General features: G+C 41.0%; 1 protein-coding gene and 1 pseudogene across 4 annotated transcripts in view; both read right to left on the bottom strand.

Annotated features, from left to right (window-relative positions):
- Nucleotides 1–242: 242 nt before the first annotated feature.
- Nucleotides 243–20,980, bottom strand: part of PLCG2 (phospholipase C gamma 2) — a 223,645-nt gene continuing 202,907 nt past the window's right edge. For 3 of the 4 annotated variants that reach the window (NM_001425751.1, NM_001425749.1, NM_001425750.1), the window contains 3 exons: nt 16,665–16,753; nt 6,049–6,233; nt 4,634–4,972 (listed from right to left, as the gene is read on the bottom strand). In NM_001425751.1, the coding sequence (NP_001412680.1) occupies nt 4,930–4,972; nt 6,049–6,233; nt 16,665–16,753 (317 nt within the window). In that variant the 3' untranslated portion in view covers nt 4,634–4,929. Of the gene's footprint in view, nt 4,973–6,048; nt 6,234–16,664; nt 16,754–20,980 lie in introns of all 4 variants that reach the window. The other variant, NM_002661.5, reaches the window with a different exon arrangement.
- On the bottom strand, nt 763–1,002 carry RN7SKP176 (RN7SK pseudogene 176; annotated as a pseudogene).

The following is a 20,980-nucleotide window of genomic DNA, read 5'->3' as shown; positions in this document are numbered from 1 at the left end:
ATTGAAGAGCACTCAAGTATTAATCGTACAAACTTGAGTTTCAACACAGAGTGAGTTTTTGCTGAAGATAAACCTGTAACCCAAAGAAACGTGGGATAAATAGGATAGTAAAACACATTTCAAAAAATAACTGTAACTCTACCTATCTCATGACTAAATTATTGTATGTGTGTGTGTGTTTTATTTGGGAATATAAAAGGTGAATAGCAGTTTTTAAAAAAAGTTCTGGGCAGATTGCTATATTCATTCAGATGAAACTTTTATTTTTCAAAATGTGATACAGCTGTTTAATTTTCACATTAACAACAGCCAACATCTGTGTGACTCATTCACTTAATTCTCTATGTACACAAAGCACATACTATTTATATAAAAAATAAATTAAGCTTTAATAATGAAACACAAGTTTACAAATGCAGCTTCTTAAGGCCTAATGAAAAATAAGAAATGTGGAAATTTCTGAGAGGCAGGATCACTGGAATCTGGCTCTTCAAAAAGAAAATATTTTGAAAATTAAAAACCAGGGACAAATTATTGAGTATTTTTAAATGCCAATTTTCTAATTCTGTATAATTCCAAATCTAATTATTAACTTTTTGTTGGTTAGAAGATAGCTTTTACGGTTGGGTTCAAAAAGTTAAATGTCACACAGGTTGAAGGTTAAGCTATTTTCCTTTTAAAGTCAAAAGGGTTGAGGTCCTTTTTAGCCATCCTTTTTGCTTCCAAATACAATTCATCACTTAGTGGCCCTAGATCAGCAATCTTGAGAGCTTGTTTGGAGGTTCCAGCAGGGGAGCGCAGCTACTCGTATACCCTTGACCGAAGACCGGTCCTCCTCTATCGGGGTTGGTCGTCCTCTTCGACGGAGCGCGCAGCTTCGGGAGGGACGCACATGGAGCGGTGAGGTAGGAAGGGGACACCCACCTAGCCAGCCAGATCAGCCGAATCAACCCTGGCGATCAATGGGGTGACAGATGTCGCAGCCAGATCGCCCTCACATCCGATCAGCAATCTTAACATTTTATGCTCAGATACTCTTAAGTGAATTTTGAAAATCTCTATCTTCTTGCACATTGCTATATTGACATCTAAAATTTCTCATTATAAATAGCTGCAAAGTGCTGGCATACCGTAGACACTACATGTTTAAATAAAACTGTTGTATTACTTTTTAAATTTAGCCCAGGAGGTTCTTAATATAAGTTATTTGATAGATACTATGATCTTTTTAAAAATTTTATGAACAGGGCCATTTTTTTATGATCAGTCTTACCTGGAACAAGGCAATTTTTAGTAGCAAGGAATGCCCCACTTTTCCTTTTACTCCTTGAATTTGTATTTTCATACCACTTCTCCCTCAAAATTTTAGCCTAATAAATTTTTGATTTTTATGTTATTTAATTCTATCTCTGTACCAAAAGTATTATATAGTATCCTATAATCCTAAGGCTGTAAGCCTTTAAAATTTTCCTCTGGATTGAGCTGAATCAATAAACACATAGCCCAAATTTCACTAAATTATTAAACATAGTAAAACTTCTTTGGAAATGTATCACTTAATGAGATAAAGAGGGCTTTTCTCCACAATTATTTCATCTATGTAGATTGATAACATCTTAAGATTGAGCCAAAGTTCATCATCAATTCTATTTTCCGTTTTCAATTTCATTTATGGAGATGTTGATCCTTGTTCACACAGATACATCAATGGGAACGGAAGCTTTATGATAGCAGAATCACTGAATTCTTCCAACCCCTTTGTAGTTACATGCTAAGAGACTCAGAAATCTACAGGCTGTTCCTCCCACTTTGTTGAAAGCAAAAAATTTGGAACCACCAGAAAAACTTGGAAAATCCATTTGCAAAAAGATTTGTGCCCTGTTGATAAGTCTTTCACTTTCCAAATATCCACATTTTGAATTTTTACACCTTGGGACATGCTCTACAGTAAGACTAGAGGTGGAGACAGCCATATTTTCTTTTGTAAGGTGAGAAAAGGGCATTTTCTCAGGCAGATGAATCTTAGAGAAGAATATAACAGGAAGATGAGGCTCTGAACACTGCTCCCCTGAGAGTACTGGAGTCTGTGTATTCCTTGGAAAGCTCTGGTATACTCCCAGGGGTAAGGCTAGCTTAATCTAAAGGCCACTGGCCATGGCGACTTAAGTTTAGATTTTAACTAGGTCACAAAGCATACGAAGTATTAGAACATGTTGTCCGGCTGCCTTCTTAATAGAGCAGTAGGTCTTCAAATGTGTTCCACTATAGATAAGTCCCATGAGACACTTCTGGCAAAAAGATTCTGAGATCGAATTTGGAAAACAAGACCCTCTACACCTTTCACTCCTGCACATCTAGTCTCACAGTAGAAAAACTTTATTTAGTTTTTATAACCTAAGTTTCCCAAACTCACAAGGCCTAACCAGCCTCCCCACTTTATTTTTCCTTGTAATAACCAATATTCTAAATAACACACTTAGGAAAATGGTGAACAAAAACAGTGTAATACATATGCAGTGGTGGTTTTGATCTATCAGTGCTGCTTCCATCTTTCAGAATGTGCCTGTTACTAGTCTTCTTGGCCTGGATTGGCTGTGCTTTAACAGTCATGTAGGAAGCATGTCTCAGCTAGATACTGAAGTTATGTAGCATCACATAGACTCTGGGAAGAGCCATCATACCATGTGTGCCTTTCCTGAGAGAATCAGTCCCTAACACCACCAAGAACCAGATTAACGTGTTACTCTGTCAAGGACAGGAGGAAAGAACCGAAGAAAGTACTCTCTCATGGTGGATTCCGGTTGTAGCACCAGGAGAAGGAGACAGTTTTAGGCAGAGGGTTCTTCCCAGCACCATTTATGTCATAATCCCCTGACTTCTCTTTGGCCACGCATGGATTTTACACAGCAGCAGCTGGAGAGAGGCTTAGCTTCTGCTTCCTATGCCGCCATATGTCAGGTTCTTTGATATGGTAGCAAAAAACCCATTTGGGCAGAAAGGGGATGCAGGCCTTAGCACTGTGGCTTTAAAGTAGAATGAAGTGAGGAGCTGAAAGGAGGTAATGACAGCAACACCTGAGCTCTGCTGTGTGGAAGTCCTAACAGAGCTGAGAGGGGTTGGGGGAGATGCCAGGTGCAATAAATAGGTTCTGGTGGCTACCTGGCCAAAGGCTAATGGGGCCCTGGCTACAGAGTGCCTGCAGCACTCATCCCAGTGCCTTTCTCACCTAGCCTTTCTTGAAAGTTGCTTTGAACATCTGCCACTAAGAGGAATGTTCTTTCTTCAGTTGCTGACTGCCAAATAAAATAGCAGCTCCCAGTTGGAGGAGTAACTGGAGTGATAGCACCAGATAACAGCCCTTCCTTGGCCAGACTGCTGTTCCCTGTGTTCCTGGCTTCAAGCGAGGTAAATGGCTTTCTTTTAGGAGCTTGTGGATGGAGATGATTGATGAGACCCACAGCTTTTTGTTTAAACATCCACACCCCCAAATCTTGGCACTGTATTTGGCATGTGGAGGTGATCAGTAAGTTTTTGTAGAGTGAAGGGACCAGAAGGATCTTCTGGTCAGAGCCTGATTTGTTCTGCCCTGCTTTTCAGCAGTACATGCATACTAAGCCCAGCATTTCGGGTAACAAGAGGAGGGTCAGATGGGTTTCTAGGGGCCAGTTCCATCCACATCAAACATCAGGCTTACTGCTGGTTTGTTCTTCCCCACCACAGCCATCGTTTTTCACAGTTACACTCCTTTTCCCATCAGCTGTAAATTCACTCATTGAGAAGTTGTGACTCTACCAACCACCTCCCTTCCCAACCCAGCACTCTCCTCTCCTTTAAAAAGCCATATTACATTATTGGTATGTATTAACAACTTAAGATGCAGAGGTGTAAAGCCCTGGCCAGCCGCACATACTGTCATGAACTAGGTAGATCTGCCCCAAGGGAGATGGCTGCATTTGAAATTTTCTGTAACACCCTAATGCTTAGCCCATTAAAGCTCAGCTTGCTGCTCCAGAAGACTGGGTAACCCAGAGACATTTCGCCATCAACCTAACTTTTGTCTACCTCTTTCAAGCAGCAGTTGACCTCTTGCCTGTGGAGAGCTGTGGACCAAGGGCCATTCCAGCAGCCTCCCAGCCAGTTCAGTAGGGCCATGAGGGACTAGTGGGGCCAGAGCCTCCCAGCAGCTGGCAGAGCCAGGGGCAAGTGAGAACCTGCCCCTGCAGCACGGCTCTGGTCTCTCTGATGGGCTTTTTAAAACAAAGAGGCCCCAAGATTCCTACCCTCCATCCCAGTAACTCTAGTCACAAAACAAGCTGTCACCATTAATTAGAAATTGTCTTAATGAACAGATCCCATCACTCAGCCATTTTCTTGTGGACTGCAGCAGGCAGCCGGTGGTAGTTAAAGTACATTGAACTGAGCAGGCTGCCTGTGGGTAGGGCTTCTCTTTGGGCCCTTATGGAATCATTTGCCTTTGAGTTAAAATCCTTTTCAGAATCTCATGAATAGTTTCTTACATTTCCAGCTCATCCTCCATGGACATCAGTTACCTGGATCATTAGAGGTAGAATCTTCTTGGCCAGAAAAGAAATCCTGTTCACTGCACAGGTCGTGCAACAGAAGGCTTAATTGATCAAGGTTTTCATTGCTTTTATTCAATGAGGTTTGGAACATGAGAGGCCAAAAATGAGGAGCACATTTTGGGGAATCCTCTATAAAGAATATAAGTTAAGAAAGTTGTCCAAGATGAAAATAATAGGAAATTACCCCAACTCATGCCAGTTGGGTCTTAAGAAATGTCCTTGATGGCAGGCTTGAAGAAAAGATGTCACAGATTAGCGTCTTCCCAGAGTGTGAATAGGGCACGTTCTCCTACATGCAAACACACATGCGCACACACACAATACCCTTACACACATACCCCAGCTTCTATGAGTAAAACTTGCTGTTGCTGACTCTCTTCTCTCTTAACCTGAAATAAAACAGATTTCACCATCAGCAGTGGGCCATGAGAAATGGGCTGCGTGCTGAACTCTGTAACATTTCTCTTTCTGTACATTTGCCAGTCATTCATAGCTGGATGGTATAGGGCTGAGTGTCAGAGAGGCAGACTCCAAGTTCCTGGTAAGACGTTGAGACTCAGAGAGGTTAAATCTCCTCAATGGTAAAACAGAGTAAGAGCTACTCTGCAGGCTGACATGAAGATTCAATGAGAATAATGTGAGTAAGGGAGGCAGCACAGTTTCTCGTTGGTGGCTACTATTAGGATTTTTGTCTGGATGATTCTTTCTTAGAAGATTTAGACATATTATGAAACACTTGGCAACCCCGGCCGCCCCGCACCCCATTACATGCCTGTAGCACAACCACAAGCATCCCTGTTGGGGGATCTTGACCCAGTCTAGAGCCGCTGGACTAGCCCATTCTTGGAAACACAATAAGTACTCCTTAAAAGTCAGTGGTCATCATTTATTTTCGCTATTAAATTGAAGTGTCCTTCTAGAGGAAACAGTTCTACTTAGGGGAAGTGGCAAGCGCCTAAGGTATTACTGTAGGTTAATTTCTAGAACAAAGAGAACTAGAGTCAAGGGTGCCAAAGGATTTTTTGTTTGTTTGTTTGTTTGTTTGTTTGACAGAGTCTCCCTCTGGTGCCCAGGCTGGAGTGCAATGGTGTGATCTCGGCTCACTGCAACCTCTGCCTCCCAGGTTGAAATGATTCTCCTGCCTCAGCCTCCCAAGTAGCTGGGATTACAGGCGCCCACGACCATGCCCAGCTAATTTTTGTATTTTTAGTAGAGACAGGGTTTCTCCATGTTGGGCACGCTGGTCTTGAACTCCTGACCTCAGGTGATCCAACCTCCTCAGCCTCCCAAAGTGCTGGGATTACAGGCATGAGCCACCATGCCTGGCCTGTGAGCCACCATGCCCGGCCAAGGATTTCTGAAGAAAGCAACTCAGAGGGCTTTCCAGAAGCCTGGCCCGTGGTGCCCATCATCACCGTGCCTAGAGACCCCCCAAAAGTTTTTGCAGGTGGAGGGGCTGACCTACCTCTTGTTGCATTTCTCCTGGTACAGCTGGAGCTGGTTCTCATTAACACTGAACTCTTTAACCAGGGCATCCCGGTTGGCATTGCGCAAGTTCTGGTGTGTGTCATACAGAAAGAGCTGGTTGTTCAGTTCTTCTTGCCGCCTCCTCAGCTGGCGACAGGAGGAGTAAAGTTCCTCTTCGCTCTCCTGGAGGATGCAGGGGAGAGAACAACCATGTGGTGACTACACCTTCCAAACCAAAATGTGAACCTGGCATCTCACAAGCATGCCCAAAGGGAGCATGGGGCAGAAGTTTTGCAACTTGGATTAGCCCAGAAGAGCCAGGGCCTATTTTAACCAAAGAAAGATAAAACACAATTATTTATTGTGTGGGAAGCAAGCAGTTTAAAAAGTGCTTGGTCTTTACACTGTTGATTTATTGCAAAACATTGAAATAATGACTGCATTTCCTGTAGATCCTATTTCTTAATCTAACCCGGTTTTCCTTTGGTCTACATGTCACCTTCTGGCCTTTACCTGACTGCAAAAGTGTCTAAGCAGCTGCACGCTTAAAGTGGAACCCAGCAGAGGAGAAAAAAACAGCATGACATGAGAACTAAAAGGCAGGCAGGAGGCAGATAATTTAAAATCTTTTAAGGGCCTTAAAAGGCAAGGTAACAAGCTGCAAGGTGGATGAACCTTGAAAACATTATGCTAAGTGAATGAGCCCAACTCTAAAAGATCACAAATCACACGATGCCATTTATATGAAGTGTCCAGAACTAGCAAAATCACAGAGACAAAGTAGGTTAAAGGTCACCGGGGTCTGGGGGATGGAGTGAGTGGCAGCAGCTAATGAGCGTGAGGTTTCTTTTTGGGTGTTGGAAATGTTCTAAAATTGATTGTGGCCATGACTGTACAACACGTAATAGGCTATAAACCATTGAATTGTACACTTTAAATGAGTGATTATATGATATGTGGTTATATGAATTATCTCTCAAAGCTGTTACCCAAAAAAGCCAAGGTATCATAAATTACATCTTGCAGAGATGGGCATGTGCCTCACCTGTAGCCAGTAATGATTTCTACTTCCCCCACCAGTACAACCTCCAGGCACATGACCCAAGCAAGGCCAACTAGACGCATCCGTGGGACTTTCGTTGGTGCTCTTGGTAGAGTTTCTTTTCTTGGGATCAGCTGAAAGAGTAAGTGTGGTCCTGTCATGGCCACGTTGCTATTGAGTCAAGAAGTTTGGAATGTGCCAGAAAAAGAGGAAAACAGCCACTGAGTGAGCACAGAGATTCAGCCATGACTGAAACAAGACCTACCCCTAAACTTTTCAGTTGCAGGAACCAAAATAGTCCATTACGCTAGGGGAGAAAAAAAGACAAAAGCCACTCAGGGTAGGGAGTTTGGGTTTCAATGCAGGGGGAGGATGAGGATGTTTTGCCTCATCTGTTTCAGAGGATCCCTGACTACTCTGTGAAGCTTGGCTTTGCAGGAGGGTCAAGTCAATTGGCCTTTCCCGATGGAGTTCAAGTGAAAGACTCCTGTGCTACAAAAACATCTGTTGAGGTGCACAAACAAGATCCTTTGTCATTTACTTTTAGAAAAACACGGACTCAGACCATACTCTGCAAGGTTTTTTCCTCCTTTAATGACCTAACAAAACAGTCCCCAGGGTAACAGCTGGAACTGTGACTTTGGAGAAGGGGGACAGAAGATGATTATTCCAGCTGTTTGCAAAGGTTGAAGAGTAAGCAGAGGTAAAATGGGCTGTCCTTGGTGATTAAGTGAATGTATCAAGTGAGGCATTGGGAAGAGTCAGTAATGACTTCACTTAGTAATGACTTTCCTCCCTATTAAGAATAAAGCATATTAAAAAGTCAGGAAACAATAGATGCTGGCGAGGCTGTGGAGAAATAGGAACACTTTTACACTGTCGGTGGGAATGAAAATTAGTTCAACCATTGTGGAAGACAGTATGGTGGTTCCTCAAGGATCTAGAACCAGCAATACCATTTGACCCAGCAATCCCATTACTGGGTATGTACCCAAAGGAATATAAATCATTCTACTATAAAGACCCACGCACATGTAAGTTTACTGCAGCACCATGTACAACAGCAAAGACATGGAACCAACCCAAATGCCCATCAGTGATAGACTAGATAAAGAAAATGTGGTACATATACACCATGGAATACTATGCAGCCACAAAAATGAATGAAGTAATGTCCTTTGCAGGGACATGGATGAAGCTGGAAGCCATCATCCTCAGCCAGCAAACTAACACAGGAATGGAAAACCAAATACCATATGTTCTCACTCATAAGTGGGAGTTGAACAATGAGGACACAGGGAGGGCAACAACACACACCATGGCTAGTTGGCGGATGGGGAATGCATGTGGGACTTAAAACCTAGATGACAGGTTGACGAGTACAGCAAACCACCATGGCACACGTATACCTATGTAACAAACCTACACGTCCTGCACTTGTATCCTGGAACTTAAAGTAAAATTTTACAGAATAAAGTTCAGAGAAAAGGAAAAAGAAAAGAAAAGAATCAAGTCGCCGGGCGCAGTGCCTCAGGCATGTAATCCCCAGCACTTTGGGAGGCTGAGGTGGGAGGATTGCTTGACCAGGAGTTCAAGACCAGCCTGGGCAACATAGCGGGACCCTGTTACTATAAAAAATGAAAGAAATTAGCCAGGCATGGTGGCATACCCTGTACTCCCAGCTATTCAGGAGGCTGAGAGGGTAAGATCACATGAGCCCAGGAGGTTAAGGCTGCAGTGAGCCACGATCATGCCACTGTACTCCAGCCTGGGCAAGACAATGAGACCCTGTCTCAAAAAATAAAGCAAAATGAAAACCCCATTTAAGTCTTAATACTATACCATGAAAGGTCTCTCTTTCCCTTTTCTGCACCTAGAAGAAAATGGCTTCTGTTGTTTTATTCTATATAATGGGTATTTGTTATTCGGGCGCAAGTTCAAAATTCACCTTTTCTATGAATGCTTCTATAACTGCAACCCTTTATCACCTTTCCTGAGTGCCAAAATATTTGCAGCTATATTACATACTGTAGTCCTGGGTACACTGTATATATATGAGATATAATGCACATTCAGAAAAGAACGTAAAAGATAGAAACAGTTTAGTGAATAACTCTACAGCAAATGAACCAGCCCTCTTGACTTGAGGAACCACCACTCTAGTCAAGAGAAAGCATTTTGTGATACTTATTTCCTGGATTTCTTTTGAGTCTGAGTTTTCACTTAAAAATTTAGTTTGTTTTATTAGAAAATGAAGCTTTTGGTAATAAGTTTTACCTGGCCTGAGACAAAATCTTTATGGCACTCTCTGCCTTTAGTTTTTCTCCTGTTTGTTGGGGGGAAAAATACACAAAAAAATAAAGTTTTTCCCCCACCAATACCTTTTAAATTGTTTTATGTTGGAAGCTTAAGCTTACAAAAAAGGTACAGTAATAGTACAATGTTCTCACATACCCCAACCACCTAGACTCCACAGTGTTAACATCTCGCACAACCACAGTACAAGTATCAAAACTAAGAAATTAATATCGGTGCAATACTAAAACTACAGATCTTATTCATATTTCACTGGGTTTTCCACCAGTCTCCTTTTCCTGTTCCCACATCCAATCCGGGATCCCACAGAACCTTTAGTCATTGTGCTGCCTTAGTCTCCTACAATCTGTATGGTTTCCTCATTCCTCCCTCAGGACACTTTGGAAGAATACTAGTCAGTTATTTTGTATGAATGTCCAGCAACTTTTGTCTGGTGTCTTCTTATAATTTGTTTGAGGCGATGCAGTTTTGGCAAGAATGTCACAGAAGCAATGTACCCTTCTCAGCGTCTCACCTCAGGAAGTACGTGATTTCAACCTGCCTTATTCCAGGTGGTTGGTAACGTTGATCATCTGATTAAGATGGTAGCTGCAGGGTCTATCCGCTGTAAAGCTGCTATTTTTGTCTTTCTAATTGATAAATTTCTTGGCGGAAGACACTTTTGGGACAATGGAAATATATTTCTCCTCCAACTTTCATTTTGCATTCATCAGTAGGTCTTACTGCAGCAGTTAGTACTATGCTGTTTCAATAGTGATTTTCTAGTTCCCTCATTCCTTCTACATTTATTAATCAGAATTCATTTGTAAGGAAGAGCTATCTCTTCTCTGTCATGTATTCATTCATTCACAGACATGTGGCTATTTCATTCTGTGTGCTAGAATCTGATATTATCATTATTTTGCTATGCAAATGGTTCCAGCTGTGGCCATTGGGAGCGCTCCCTGGTTGGTTCCTAGGCCCCTTTGATGTGCTTCCACCATTTTTTCAGCACTTCTTTATTTACTGAAATGTTAAGATGCTCCAGGTCCTTTTTATATTTTATTTATCCCATGTCTGGAAATCAACCACTTGTCTAAGGAGCCCTGATTTCTTTTTATTGGCATATGATATTTAGCAATATCTGGAATTGAGAATCCAATGACTGGGGTGTCATAAGTTCTAGGCACTCAGCAGAGTGAGCTAGGATATGTATGTATTTGTAGTAACATGTAAACACACACATTTATTCATCTACGTGTGAATATATATATATAAATATATATGTAACTTGAGTTTATATTGATACCTCCAATTCCAATCCAACATTAATTTTGGAAGGGTTGGTATAAATTTCTACTTGTTCACATGGTGTTTTGTTTTTTAATAAGATTTTATGTTTTTTTCTTATATAAGTTCTGTACCTTTATTTAAATTACTCCTAAATGTGTTATGGTTTTTGTCAGTATCACAAATGGGATGTCCCATTTGTCCCTTCCTCCCACACCACATTTCTGTTTGTTACTTCTAGAACAGACAGAAGTGGTTACGTTCAATAAATACAAGAAAAATAAACATCAGTCTCTTTAAAATTGAAGTCTTCCTGTTTTGTAAACTATACAATCAGAATTTGTACAGTTTAAATTTGTATACAATAGAGATCACTCGACCTTTTTTCTAAAATTATACTGATTATTTCATTTGGCTGTTTACATTTATGGCATCTACTAGTTTATGCTTTTTTCATATTTAATTTGTTGCTAACTGTGCTGGTGTTAAACCATCCTTGCATTCCAGAATAAATGCTTAGTTGTAATATATTGCTCTTCTAGTAAACAGCTGGATATTTGCTATTTTTTGAAGTTTAACATCTATATTCACACATGACATTGGTCTACGGCTGAATGAGGTTAGGGGAAAGCTAGGAGTACTATCTTTCTCCAGTTTTGATATGAAAGTTGTATAGCTTCAAGACAGAAGAAGGATTTCCATTGTTCTTCTTACTTTGGTGGAGTGAAATTGGAATTACGTTATTTAAATGAAGACAAAACTAAGCTATAAAACCATCTAGATCCTAAACCTGTTTTATCTAATAGGTGTTTTAACTTTTCTACTGCTTTTCAGAACAATTTTAGCCTATTTACATTCTTTAAGGTAATCATCCATTTGCTGTAGTTTATTATTTGGGGTTCAGTCTCCTTTCCAGTATTTACTCTTACATGTTTTTCCTCTTTATTCTTTTATTAAGTAGGCAAAGAGTTTAACTGGTCTTTTGAGGGCTGGACACAGTGGCTGACACGTGTAATTCCAGCACTTGGGGAGGCTAAGGCAGGAGGATCTGAGAGCAGCCTAGGCAGCAAAGCAGGGCCCTGTCTCCACACACACACACAAATTTTAAATTAGCCAGGCATGGTGGCATATGCCTGTAGTCCCAGCTACTCAGGAAGATCACTTGAGCCCAGGAGGTCAAGGCTGCAGTGAGCCATGATCACACCACTGTATTCCAGGCTGGGTGACAGAAAAAAACACTGTCTCAAAACAAAATTTGGCCTTTTTGATAAACCAGAATGTTTTATTCTTTTTATCCTTTTATTTTTATTTGTGTTTTATTCAGTTGGTTTCTATCTCTTTTATTCCTTTGTTCTATTTTATTGGTGTTTTAAAAGTTCTGAAGATGAATACTTAGTAGTACATACGTCTTCATTCTTTGTGAAGTTTTAAGGCAAGCACTTTCCTCTTCTAAATGTAACTATGGCATAAATGTTTTACTTTCTAAGTAATTTACTTGTTTTAGTATATTTAGAAAATTATTATCTTCAAATTGTGAGCAATTTTGCCATCTTTTTGTGTCTTTTGAATCTAGTCCAGTTACAGCCAATGACTTAGGAAATCATTATTTTTAAAAAATGTATTAAAGTTTTCTAACGAATGCAATCAAATTTATGAAGTTTGAGACAGAAGAAAATAGTGTATGTTATCCATTTGTAGGACACAAAGTTGTATATTTCTTAAGGCAAATTATTTTGATATTATGTCTTTGCTGATTTCTTATATACAAGACTTTCCAAATTCTGAAAGATTTTTTCTTTATACAGTTGTCTTTGTATATGTAGGAATTTTTGTCTTATATACTTAGGTACTATGCTATTTGCTAATGACTTTTATATCCCTTTAGAAAACAAGCATTTTATCATCACATATTGTTCGTCTTAATACACTGTAGTACTTCTGATCGTAAATTCTAGATTGATGTTAACTTTTCCTTCCCAATTTTCCCAGTAACTCTTCCATCCATTCCTATTTGTTTTATTTACCTTGCCTTTAGGCCTCTTGTTGTAAACACTGCAGGTAGATTTCTTTTCTAATAGGAGGATTCAGCCTATTCACCAAATTAAATGTAAGTTCTTATCCATTTCACTTCAATTACTACACATTTTACCTTGCTTTAACTTATTCTGATTCTTTACATTATTTTTACTCTCTTGGTCAAGTTTATGTTGATCTCCTTTTTTCCTCCTTATTTCTTGTCTGTTTTTCAATTCTGACAGTGGTTACCCTCAGTCTAACAATGCTAACTAAAATCACAGTTTCCTTTAACATCAGATGTAGCATTAAATCTCCCTCTGCAGTATAGTTTATTTACTGACTGATTCCCTAGTCGTCAAAGTTGAAATAACCTTTAGCATACCTTTATTTTACCTTTCCATGCCTTTGCTTTGTTGATACTTGATTATTTTTTAGCTTTTGATTGTCATTTTTTATCATGGTATATTTCTTCCAATTCAAAAATCCTTATTTGATATTTACCATGACAAAATTTTTATCACACTGTCATCATCCTGTAAGATGTAACTGTACTGCAAAATTAATTATTCACTGGTTTCCCTCTCTTCACCTCCCTATCTAAAAGTTTTCTTTTCTGACTAAAATAATCATCGATTCAGGGGCTGCCTCAAGATTTCCCTTGAGTAGGATACATGATATATCTAAAATATTGCATACCTTGAAATTCCTTGACATGTCGGGGGCTGGACACTGAATTATTCCGTCTTCCTAGTCCACATTCTACCCACTTTGGGAGTCTTTTAGTTTTCAGCACCAAAGAGGACAAGTCTGATATTAGACTTATTCAGTTTCCTTTATACACAACTAGTGTGCTGGAAGTCCAGGTTTTTAAATTTATCCTTGGAACTTAACATTTTTACTGAAATATTACTGAGGGTATGGATGTGTTTTCTATTCATCTCACCTGCAACCAAGTGGGCCCTCAGAAGCAGCAGATTAGAGAAACACTTCCTTTATTCGCTATTTCATTAATAGCTCTCCACCGTCTGTTTAACTTTGTCCTTTGGGACATGCTTTCATATTAGGTCCTTGGCATCTGTCCTCCCAGCCCACCTTTTCCTTTCTTTCCATCTCATGGTGGGGTTGCCCTAGATTGTGAGACTTTTCCTTCACATTATCTTTGGTGTCACTAATGCAGATCTCTTTATATACTGAATTTTTTAATGCAACAAATCAGGTCTATTCTCTGAATTCCAGAAAGCTTTCTCCAGTGCTCTCCTTGGATGTCTTTGAAAGATCCTATGAGTTATGTGTTACAGTTCTCATCATCTGAGGTTTCCACTGGCTCAGTTTCAACTGCCAGCCATCTATTCCAGGTGTGTACCTTAGTCTGTCTTCCTCTTTTTCCACTGCATGCTCATGGTTTTGTGTGTTCAGTAGTCATGTCACACTCTTGGGTCATGGATGTTAAACACAGCAGTTTTTGCTCTTTGGAGCCAGCATTAGGCAAACTGACCAACTTTAGCTGATGAGGCATAAGGAGGGCCTTTGTGTCCCTCCAGGTCTCCCCAGGTGTAAGGAAATCTTTCCCAACCTCAAAAACCAGGACCAGCTCAGTGCCAGAGTGCAGCTCCCAGTCCTGGACCTCCAGGATTCTAAAGTGTGCAATCTTCTACAAAGGGATTCAAGCATCTGCTCTAGGATAAGCCTTAATCTAGTGCACAACATCCTGGGTTTTCTTCCACTCTAAAGAAGGGCCTCTCCACCCCTTGCAGGTTAGCTCCTACCCAGCACAAAACAGAACCCAGTCCACCCAGGATCAGTACTAAACAGGTCGTGGGGCAGCCAGTTTTCTCAAATGTGCCCTCCAGAAATGGCCAGTTTGCCCATGGAAGATGATGACTATTTAAGCTTTCCTATTTTCCCCAGTCCCATTCTTCGGGATCTCACCATGTTAAATCATTCCAGTGGAGGCCTATTCCAGTTAATGGCAAGATGGGATATAATACGACAACTTAGGAGAAACTATTTACTTGCAGAGAACAATTTGACATGCAGATAAAAATACATGGTCCTTTTTTCTTTGATTTATTATTCCATTGCTAAATATCTAGCCTTGGGAAATAATTTTTAATCAGAAAATATTACATGAAGACCTATATTATTTATAAAGTAAAGAACTGCCAACGACTTGACTCTCCGTTAGTAGGAGCATAAGTGAATTAGGGACCCATACCTGATGAAACAGGCATCAATGGCTTTGAAAATCATTTAAAGTCGTCTGTGAAGTAGAAAAGGGCACCTGTATGAATCTGACTATGGAAATATCATATACAAAAAATCATAAGGCAATGGAAATCTACCAAGATGGTAACGGTCGTTAGATACAGGCTATCTGGGGGACTCTTTTCAACTCCCCCACCTTTCTTACATCTTAAATAAAATACAGTAGGTAATAAAATGGTGCTAAAAATACTCTTTATAAACTAAACAAACATACTGCTAGCAAAGTAAAGGACTGCGACTTGATAAAGTAATTGTGACATGTAAATGGCTTCTTCAGAAGGTGTGTAAAGTGCTTATTGACAGTTTTCTGGGGCTGTAAACTCTATCTCAGCAAAGGTTTTATGAGTAAACTCCATCTTAGCCCTTACTGGATCAATCATTTGCTCAGAAAAGTCTGCATTGAGGCTGTTTACCAGAGTTTCTCCCTGGCTTCCAGAGGATATGGTGATAAATAAAAGGTATGACCGTGGGCATTAAGGAGAAAGCCCAGGTCTACCGAATGCAATTCAGCTCGGCTTCCAAGAGCGACTCTTCATCCCAGTGTGGACAGAAATGCCGAGCTGCACCTGTGAGTGGCACAGAACCAGGTGACAGATGTGGAATTAAATGAAATCTCAAGACCTAGCAGCTGAACTAAAGAAAACTTTCAGAAAGCAGATTTGTGAGCGTCGACTTTCCATTTAGAACCCCACACAACGCCCCTGGCTCCCTACAGTGGCAGCCCCGGCATTAAGCTTCCCTCATCAAGGAAGTCAAATCTGCATCAACACAATTTTCTTTTAAATATACTAATTTTCTCTGCTGCTGGTGATACCTAATCACTTAAATTATTTATAATGTTTCCGGTTGTTTACAACAGCCTTGCAGAGCAGCGGGCCTAGGCAAATGCTGCCCTACCACAATCTAAAACCATTTTTATCACTTGACTTTTCTGTGAAGTGTCTGCGGAGGGGTTTTATGTATAGAGAGAAGCAGCACTGGTTCCCTTTCCCCGGGCAATAGATGCACAAATCCCAGATCTTCAGTGAGCTGGGGAGGGATAAGCTTCACTAAGCAAAGGGTCTGCTTCACTAAGCAAAGGGTCTTCATGCTCACTGGTTTAAGGCTTCTGCTAAAGCCCAGGTTTTACAGTTTTACCATTCAGCTAAATTAATTGATCCCACTAATTCTATATCTGAGTATTGATCCTAAGGAAAGAATTCTGGCGTAAAGGAGGAAAAAGGTACTCACCTAAAGCTGTGCATGATCGCCTTATTTGTAAATGGATTCCATCTAAATGCTCAGCTTGGGGGGTGATTAATTTATGGTCATTCTACTTGATTGGAGGCTATCAGACTTTTTGATAGGATTCCTAAAGATGCACTGGCACCAAAAAGCATCCAGAAAGGATGAGTCTATCTAGGAAGGCATCATCTGGCCTGGCTCTTGCTGAAGTGAAACTATGGGGAACTTACAAGTACCGGCACCCTTTCCTACACTGCCTACACAGAATCACACAGCATTCTCCAGGAAAGGAGGATGCTGGGAGGGAAAACCCAGGACACTCTGGGGAATTAGCAAAAAGGAATTCTTGTATGATGTCTCATGCTTGGGCTAGACAATTCTGAATGGGCTTAAGTCCATCTGCCAATTGTATTCACGGGCCGTTTCTACCCTCACCAGCAGGCATAGCTCAGGGAACCCTTAACTGGTGTTTCTCCACTCACCAGGACTGGCCGCATCTCACAGAAAACCAGGAGGGAAGCCAGCTCTATGTCCTCGCTGTACCCATTCTTCAGAGGAACGGACCTGAATCCTGAAGCAGAACAAGGAGGAAAATGCAAAGGCAGGTAATTAATGTCAGACCTTAGATTTTTTTTGGAGGCTACCTCGGGATCATAGGCCTAGTTCAAAGGGTAGAGAAGTCAGTGCCCCATGCTGGGGGCTGACTTTGTGGAAGCCAGAGGTCCTATCCTGATGGTTAGGGACAGAGGCCGGCAGCCATGACTGACTGGTCCATACAGGGAAGCAAGGTTAAAAATATCTACCATCTAGAAATAAAAATGATTCACTCAGAAGAAATTAAAACCCACAGAACATTCCACATTGAGTGTAGTGATTGCAGCTGTGGTTCAATTCCTTAAATACTCCTGAGACCAAAAGAGTAGTGAATCCTCATCCATTTCCTCCACTTACAGCCTTACAAAGCACAGGACCAGGGAGTGTGTTTTATCTTTAAAGATTTCCAATGGGAGGAAATCTTTCTGTCCCTTAGTAGTTCATAGCAGTATTGATCTTCCTCCTCCTAAAGCCATTCCCTCTTTACAATTAGGACCTGTCTTTCACAGTCATTTAAATGTTTCTTTTTATTTGGGGCTGAGGGGGGCAAGTTGGAGCCGAATCTCCCCCACCCCCATTCAGTAATGTTTAAGGCAACACATCTCAAAGGTTGGTTTGCTGGCTTGTTTTAGTATAAAAGAACACAGGGCTGAAACAGAACGGTCACTCCCACCCAATCCTCCTCTCTGTCCTAAAAGGAACCATGGTTAACAGTATCTTTCCCAAGATTGCCTATGCATATGTTTGAGTTGCTTTTAATCACAAATGATAGTGCCTTACCCAGTTAGCATTGTATCTCAGAGATGGTTTCTGTGGTCCTAGTTTGTCTTGAAAGCATTTATATCATATCTACTGATTCTCCAAGTAATGCCCAAAATAGGACACTCCCACTGTTTCCTCTGTGCCTTCCACCATTCAGATTTTGGGCTTATTTCTCTTGGAACATTTTATACTCTCAGTTGCTTTATCACCTTCAAACAATATCCACTGAATCTCTCACTTTCCGCTGCTTATGAAGAGGAAGGTCACATTCTTACACAAACCTGTTCCTTTTCTCTCCCCAATTTCTCCTTTTACACCCCTAAGGTGTATTGTCATTTCTGTATGGACATGGTATATAATATTTGCATTCCATTTTGTAACCATAATTCTCCCACAAAGGGAGGCTTATGTTTTTCTGGCATTTTAATATAAAATTCTTAAACATACAGCAACACTAAAAAAAATTACAAGGATTACTTGTATACCCACCACCTAGATTGTACGAAACTTTTACTCTACAGTTGGCCCTTGATATCTATGGGGGACTCGTTCAGGACCTCCCCAGATACCAAAATCCTTGGAGGCTCAAGTCCCTGATATAAAATGACATAGTTGGCCAAGTACGGTGGCTCATGCCTGTAATCCTAGCACTTGGGGAGGGCAAGGCAGGAGGATCACTTGAAGCCAGGAATTCAAGACTAGCCTAGGCAACATAGCAAGACCCCCATCTCTACAAGAAATAAAATAAAATAAAAAATTTAGCTGGGCACAGTGATGCACACCTGTAGTCCCAGCTACTAGGAAGACTGAGGCAGGAGGATTGCTTGAGCCCAGGAGTCTGAGGCTGCCATGAGCTATGATCACACAACACTGAATTTCAGCCTCAGTGACAGAGGGAAGACCTTGTCTCTAAATAATTAATTCAGTGGCGTAGTATTTGCATATAACCTATGCACATCCTCCCATATCCTTTAAATTAGATTACTTTAATACCCAAGACAATATAAATACTGTGTAAATAATCGTTATACTGTATTAAGGAATAAGAAAAAAGTCTGCATATGTTCGATACATAATGTTTTCAAAAATATTTTCAACCCAAGCTTGGTTGGTTGAGTCCACAGATCCAGAGGGCTGACTGTACTTGTTTTGTCATGGATTTATCTACCCATCAATCCATCTTATTTATGTATACAATTCAAAGTATGACAAAGACATCAATATACTTTCCCCAGCATGCATCTCACCACCCAGAGCTCAGTATTACTTTACAGTGTTCCTCTTCTGATACACAATTTTATACATAAGGAAATGTACAAATTTATATTTTTTAATGGCTGGATGCTCATCATCTTACTGAATTCCGTGGATGCCTTCATTGGCTAAATTTGTCCTCTTTTGTTCTCTTCAAAATGAGCCCATGGGACACAGAATTCCTGAGCTGTGCATGTTTGAGAGCATCCATCCTTTGATTTTATACTTGAGTGACAGTTTGAGGGGGTATAAAACCTGAATGTTTTATACCCACTCATTTCCTGGTAGGGTTTATGGGGACATTGCTCTCATTGAATATACTGCTGTAAAGAAGTTTTCTGACCTATTTTTCCCTATCGCTACAATGTGATTTTTGTTGCTAGTTTGTTTTTTGCCTTGATAGAGACTCAGAATTCTTGCAGACTAGCCCAGTGATATGCCAACATTAATGCAAATGTGAATCACCTGTGAATCTTGTTAAAATGCAGATTCTGACTTGGGAAGTCTGGGGTGAGGCCTGAGATTCTGCATCTCTAATGAGCTAATCTGTGGACATTGGTGAAGAAATCTATGTTATGGTTTGGCTCTGTGTCCCCACCCAAATCTCATGTTGAATTGTGATCTCCACTGTTGGAGCTGGGGCCGGGTGGGAGGTGACTGGATAATGGGGGTGGACTTCCCACTTGCTGTTCTCATGATAGTGAGTTCTCACGAGATGGGGTTGTTTAATAAAAGTGTGTAGTACCTCCCCCTTCACTAGCTCTCTTTTCCTCCTGCTGGCCATGTAAATATGTGCTTGTTCCCCTTCTACCAGGATTGTAAATTTCCTGAGGCCTCCCCAGAAACAAAAGCCTGTACAGCCTGCAGAACTGTGAGCCAATCAAACCTCTTTTCTTTATAAATTACCCAGTCTCAGGTATGTCTTTATAGCAGTGTGAGAACGGACTAATACAGTCTAGCTGCTGATTGACTGTTAGAATGAACTGGAATGACTGTTTGCTCCATGGCATTCCGGGAGGCTATCAGGTAGCCCCTACACTCCAATAGCATGGTTCCAGGCTGGACAGTACTATCTGACACTAGGCGTGTGCCTCTTAAATCGGAGACATGAGCTCTGCCCTCATGACCAGCTGTCTCCAGCTCTATGTACCTTCTCTCGCTGCCCAAGTCCCATTTTTATGCACTGGGCAGCCCTCCTTGTATAAAAAAAAAAAAAATAATTGTTTTTCTTCTTCTTGTTTCTAGTCATTTCACTGGGGAAAGGGAAATACAGACACCTTTTAAAGTAAGATCAATGCATCTGGCTTTGAGCACCCAGTGAGAGGGCAGCCTGCAGAGGAGGAACACGGGGTTCGAAATTAATTAGACATTCCTGGGTTTGAATCTCAGCTCTGGTCCTACAGGTGTGTGACCTTGAGCAAGTTAAGTCATAGTCTCTCGGCCTCAAAGTGCTCAGAATTTTAAAACCAAAGATAAAACCCCTTTCACAGGATTACTGTGAGGATTAAAAGAGAAAGAGTTTAAGGTACCTAACACAATAAAGGCTGCTGCTTTCCTTCCTGCGCTCCAACTGGTTTAAAAGCTTCAGTGCATCTCTAATGACAATGGGTGAAGTTTATTTTTTCAGTATGGAAGACCCTCAATGCCTCCTGTTCATTCTATTTCATTCCTCCCATGAATATGGATGTGCCAGGCACTGCTAGGAGCTAGAAAGAAGTGAGGAAAGGTCCCTGCTGAGAGTATCTCACAGTCGGGGGAGGAGAAGGTCACATTTTTAATCTCCCTTGAGGTTTTGACCTTTGTTTTTTCCAAATCTCCAAGCTAAGTCATTGCATTCTGCAGATGAATTGACACACTTTGATGCCCATTAAGGTAACGAGGTTTTATCATCAACTCTGACATCTCTGCAAGGCACTGGGAGGGGTTATGAGGCTCAAGGCCCTCATCCTTCAAGAGGACGTCGGGGTAACCAAGGGGTTTCAGCACAGCTGCCCCTCTCTGCTGGATGAGTTCAGTAGAGGAACTGGCAGGCAGTTACCATAAAAAGAAATCTGTTACAGCGTCAAGGCTAGGAACGTAAAGGTGTACCAAAAGCTACACTTCCTGCACCAGAAGAATTGGTGTCATTCCTAAGCCTTATTAGACTAATCTAAAAGAAGCAAATTAAGGAATCACAGCCCTGATCAGT

This window comes from Homo sapiens, chromosome 16, assembly GCF_000001405.40.
Source record: "Homo sapiens chromosome 16, GRCh38.p14 Primary Assembly".
Taxonomy (NCBI): Eukaryota; Metazoa; Chordata; class Mammalia; order Primates; family Hominidae; genus Homo; species Homo sapiens.
This window is presented reverse-complemented; position numbering and strand designations above follow the sequence as displayed.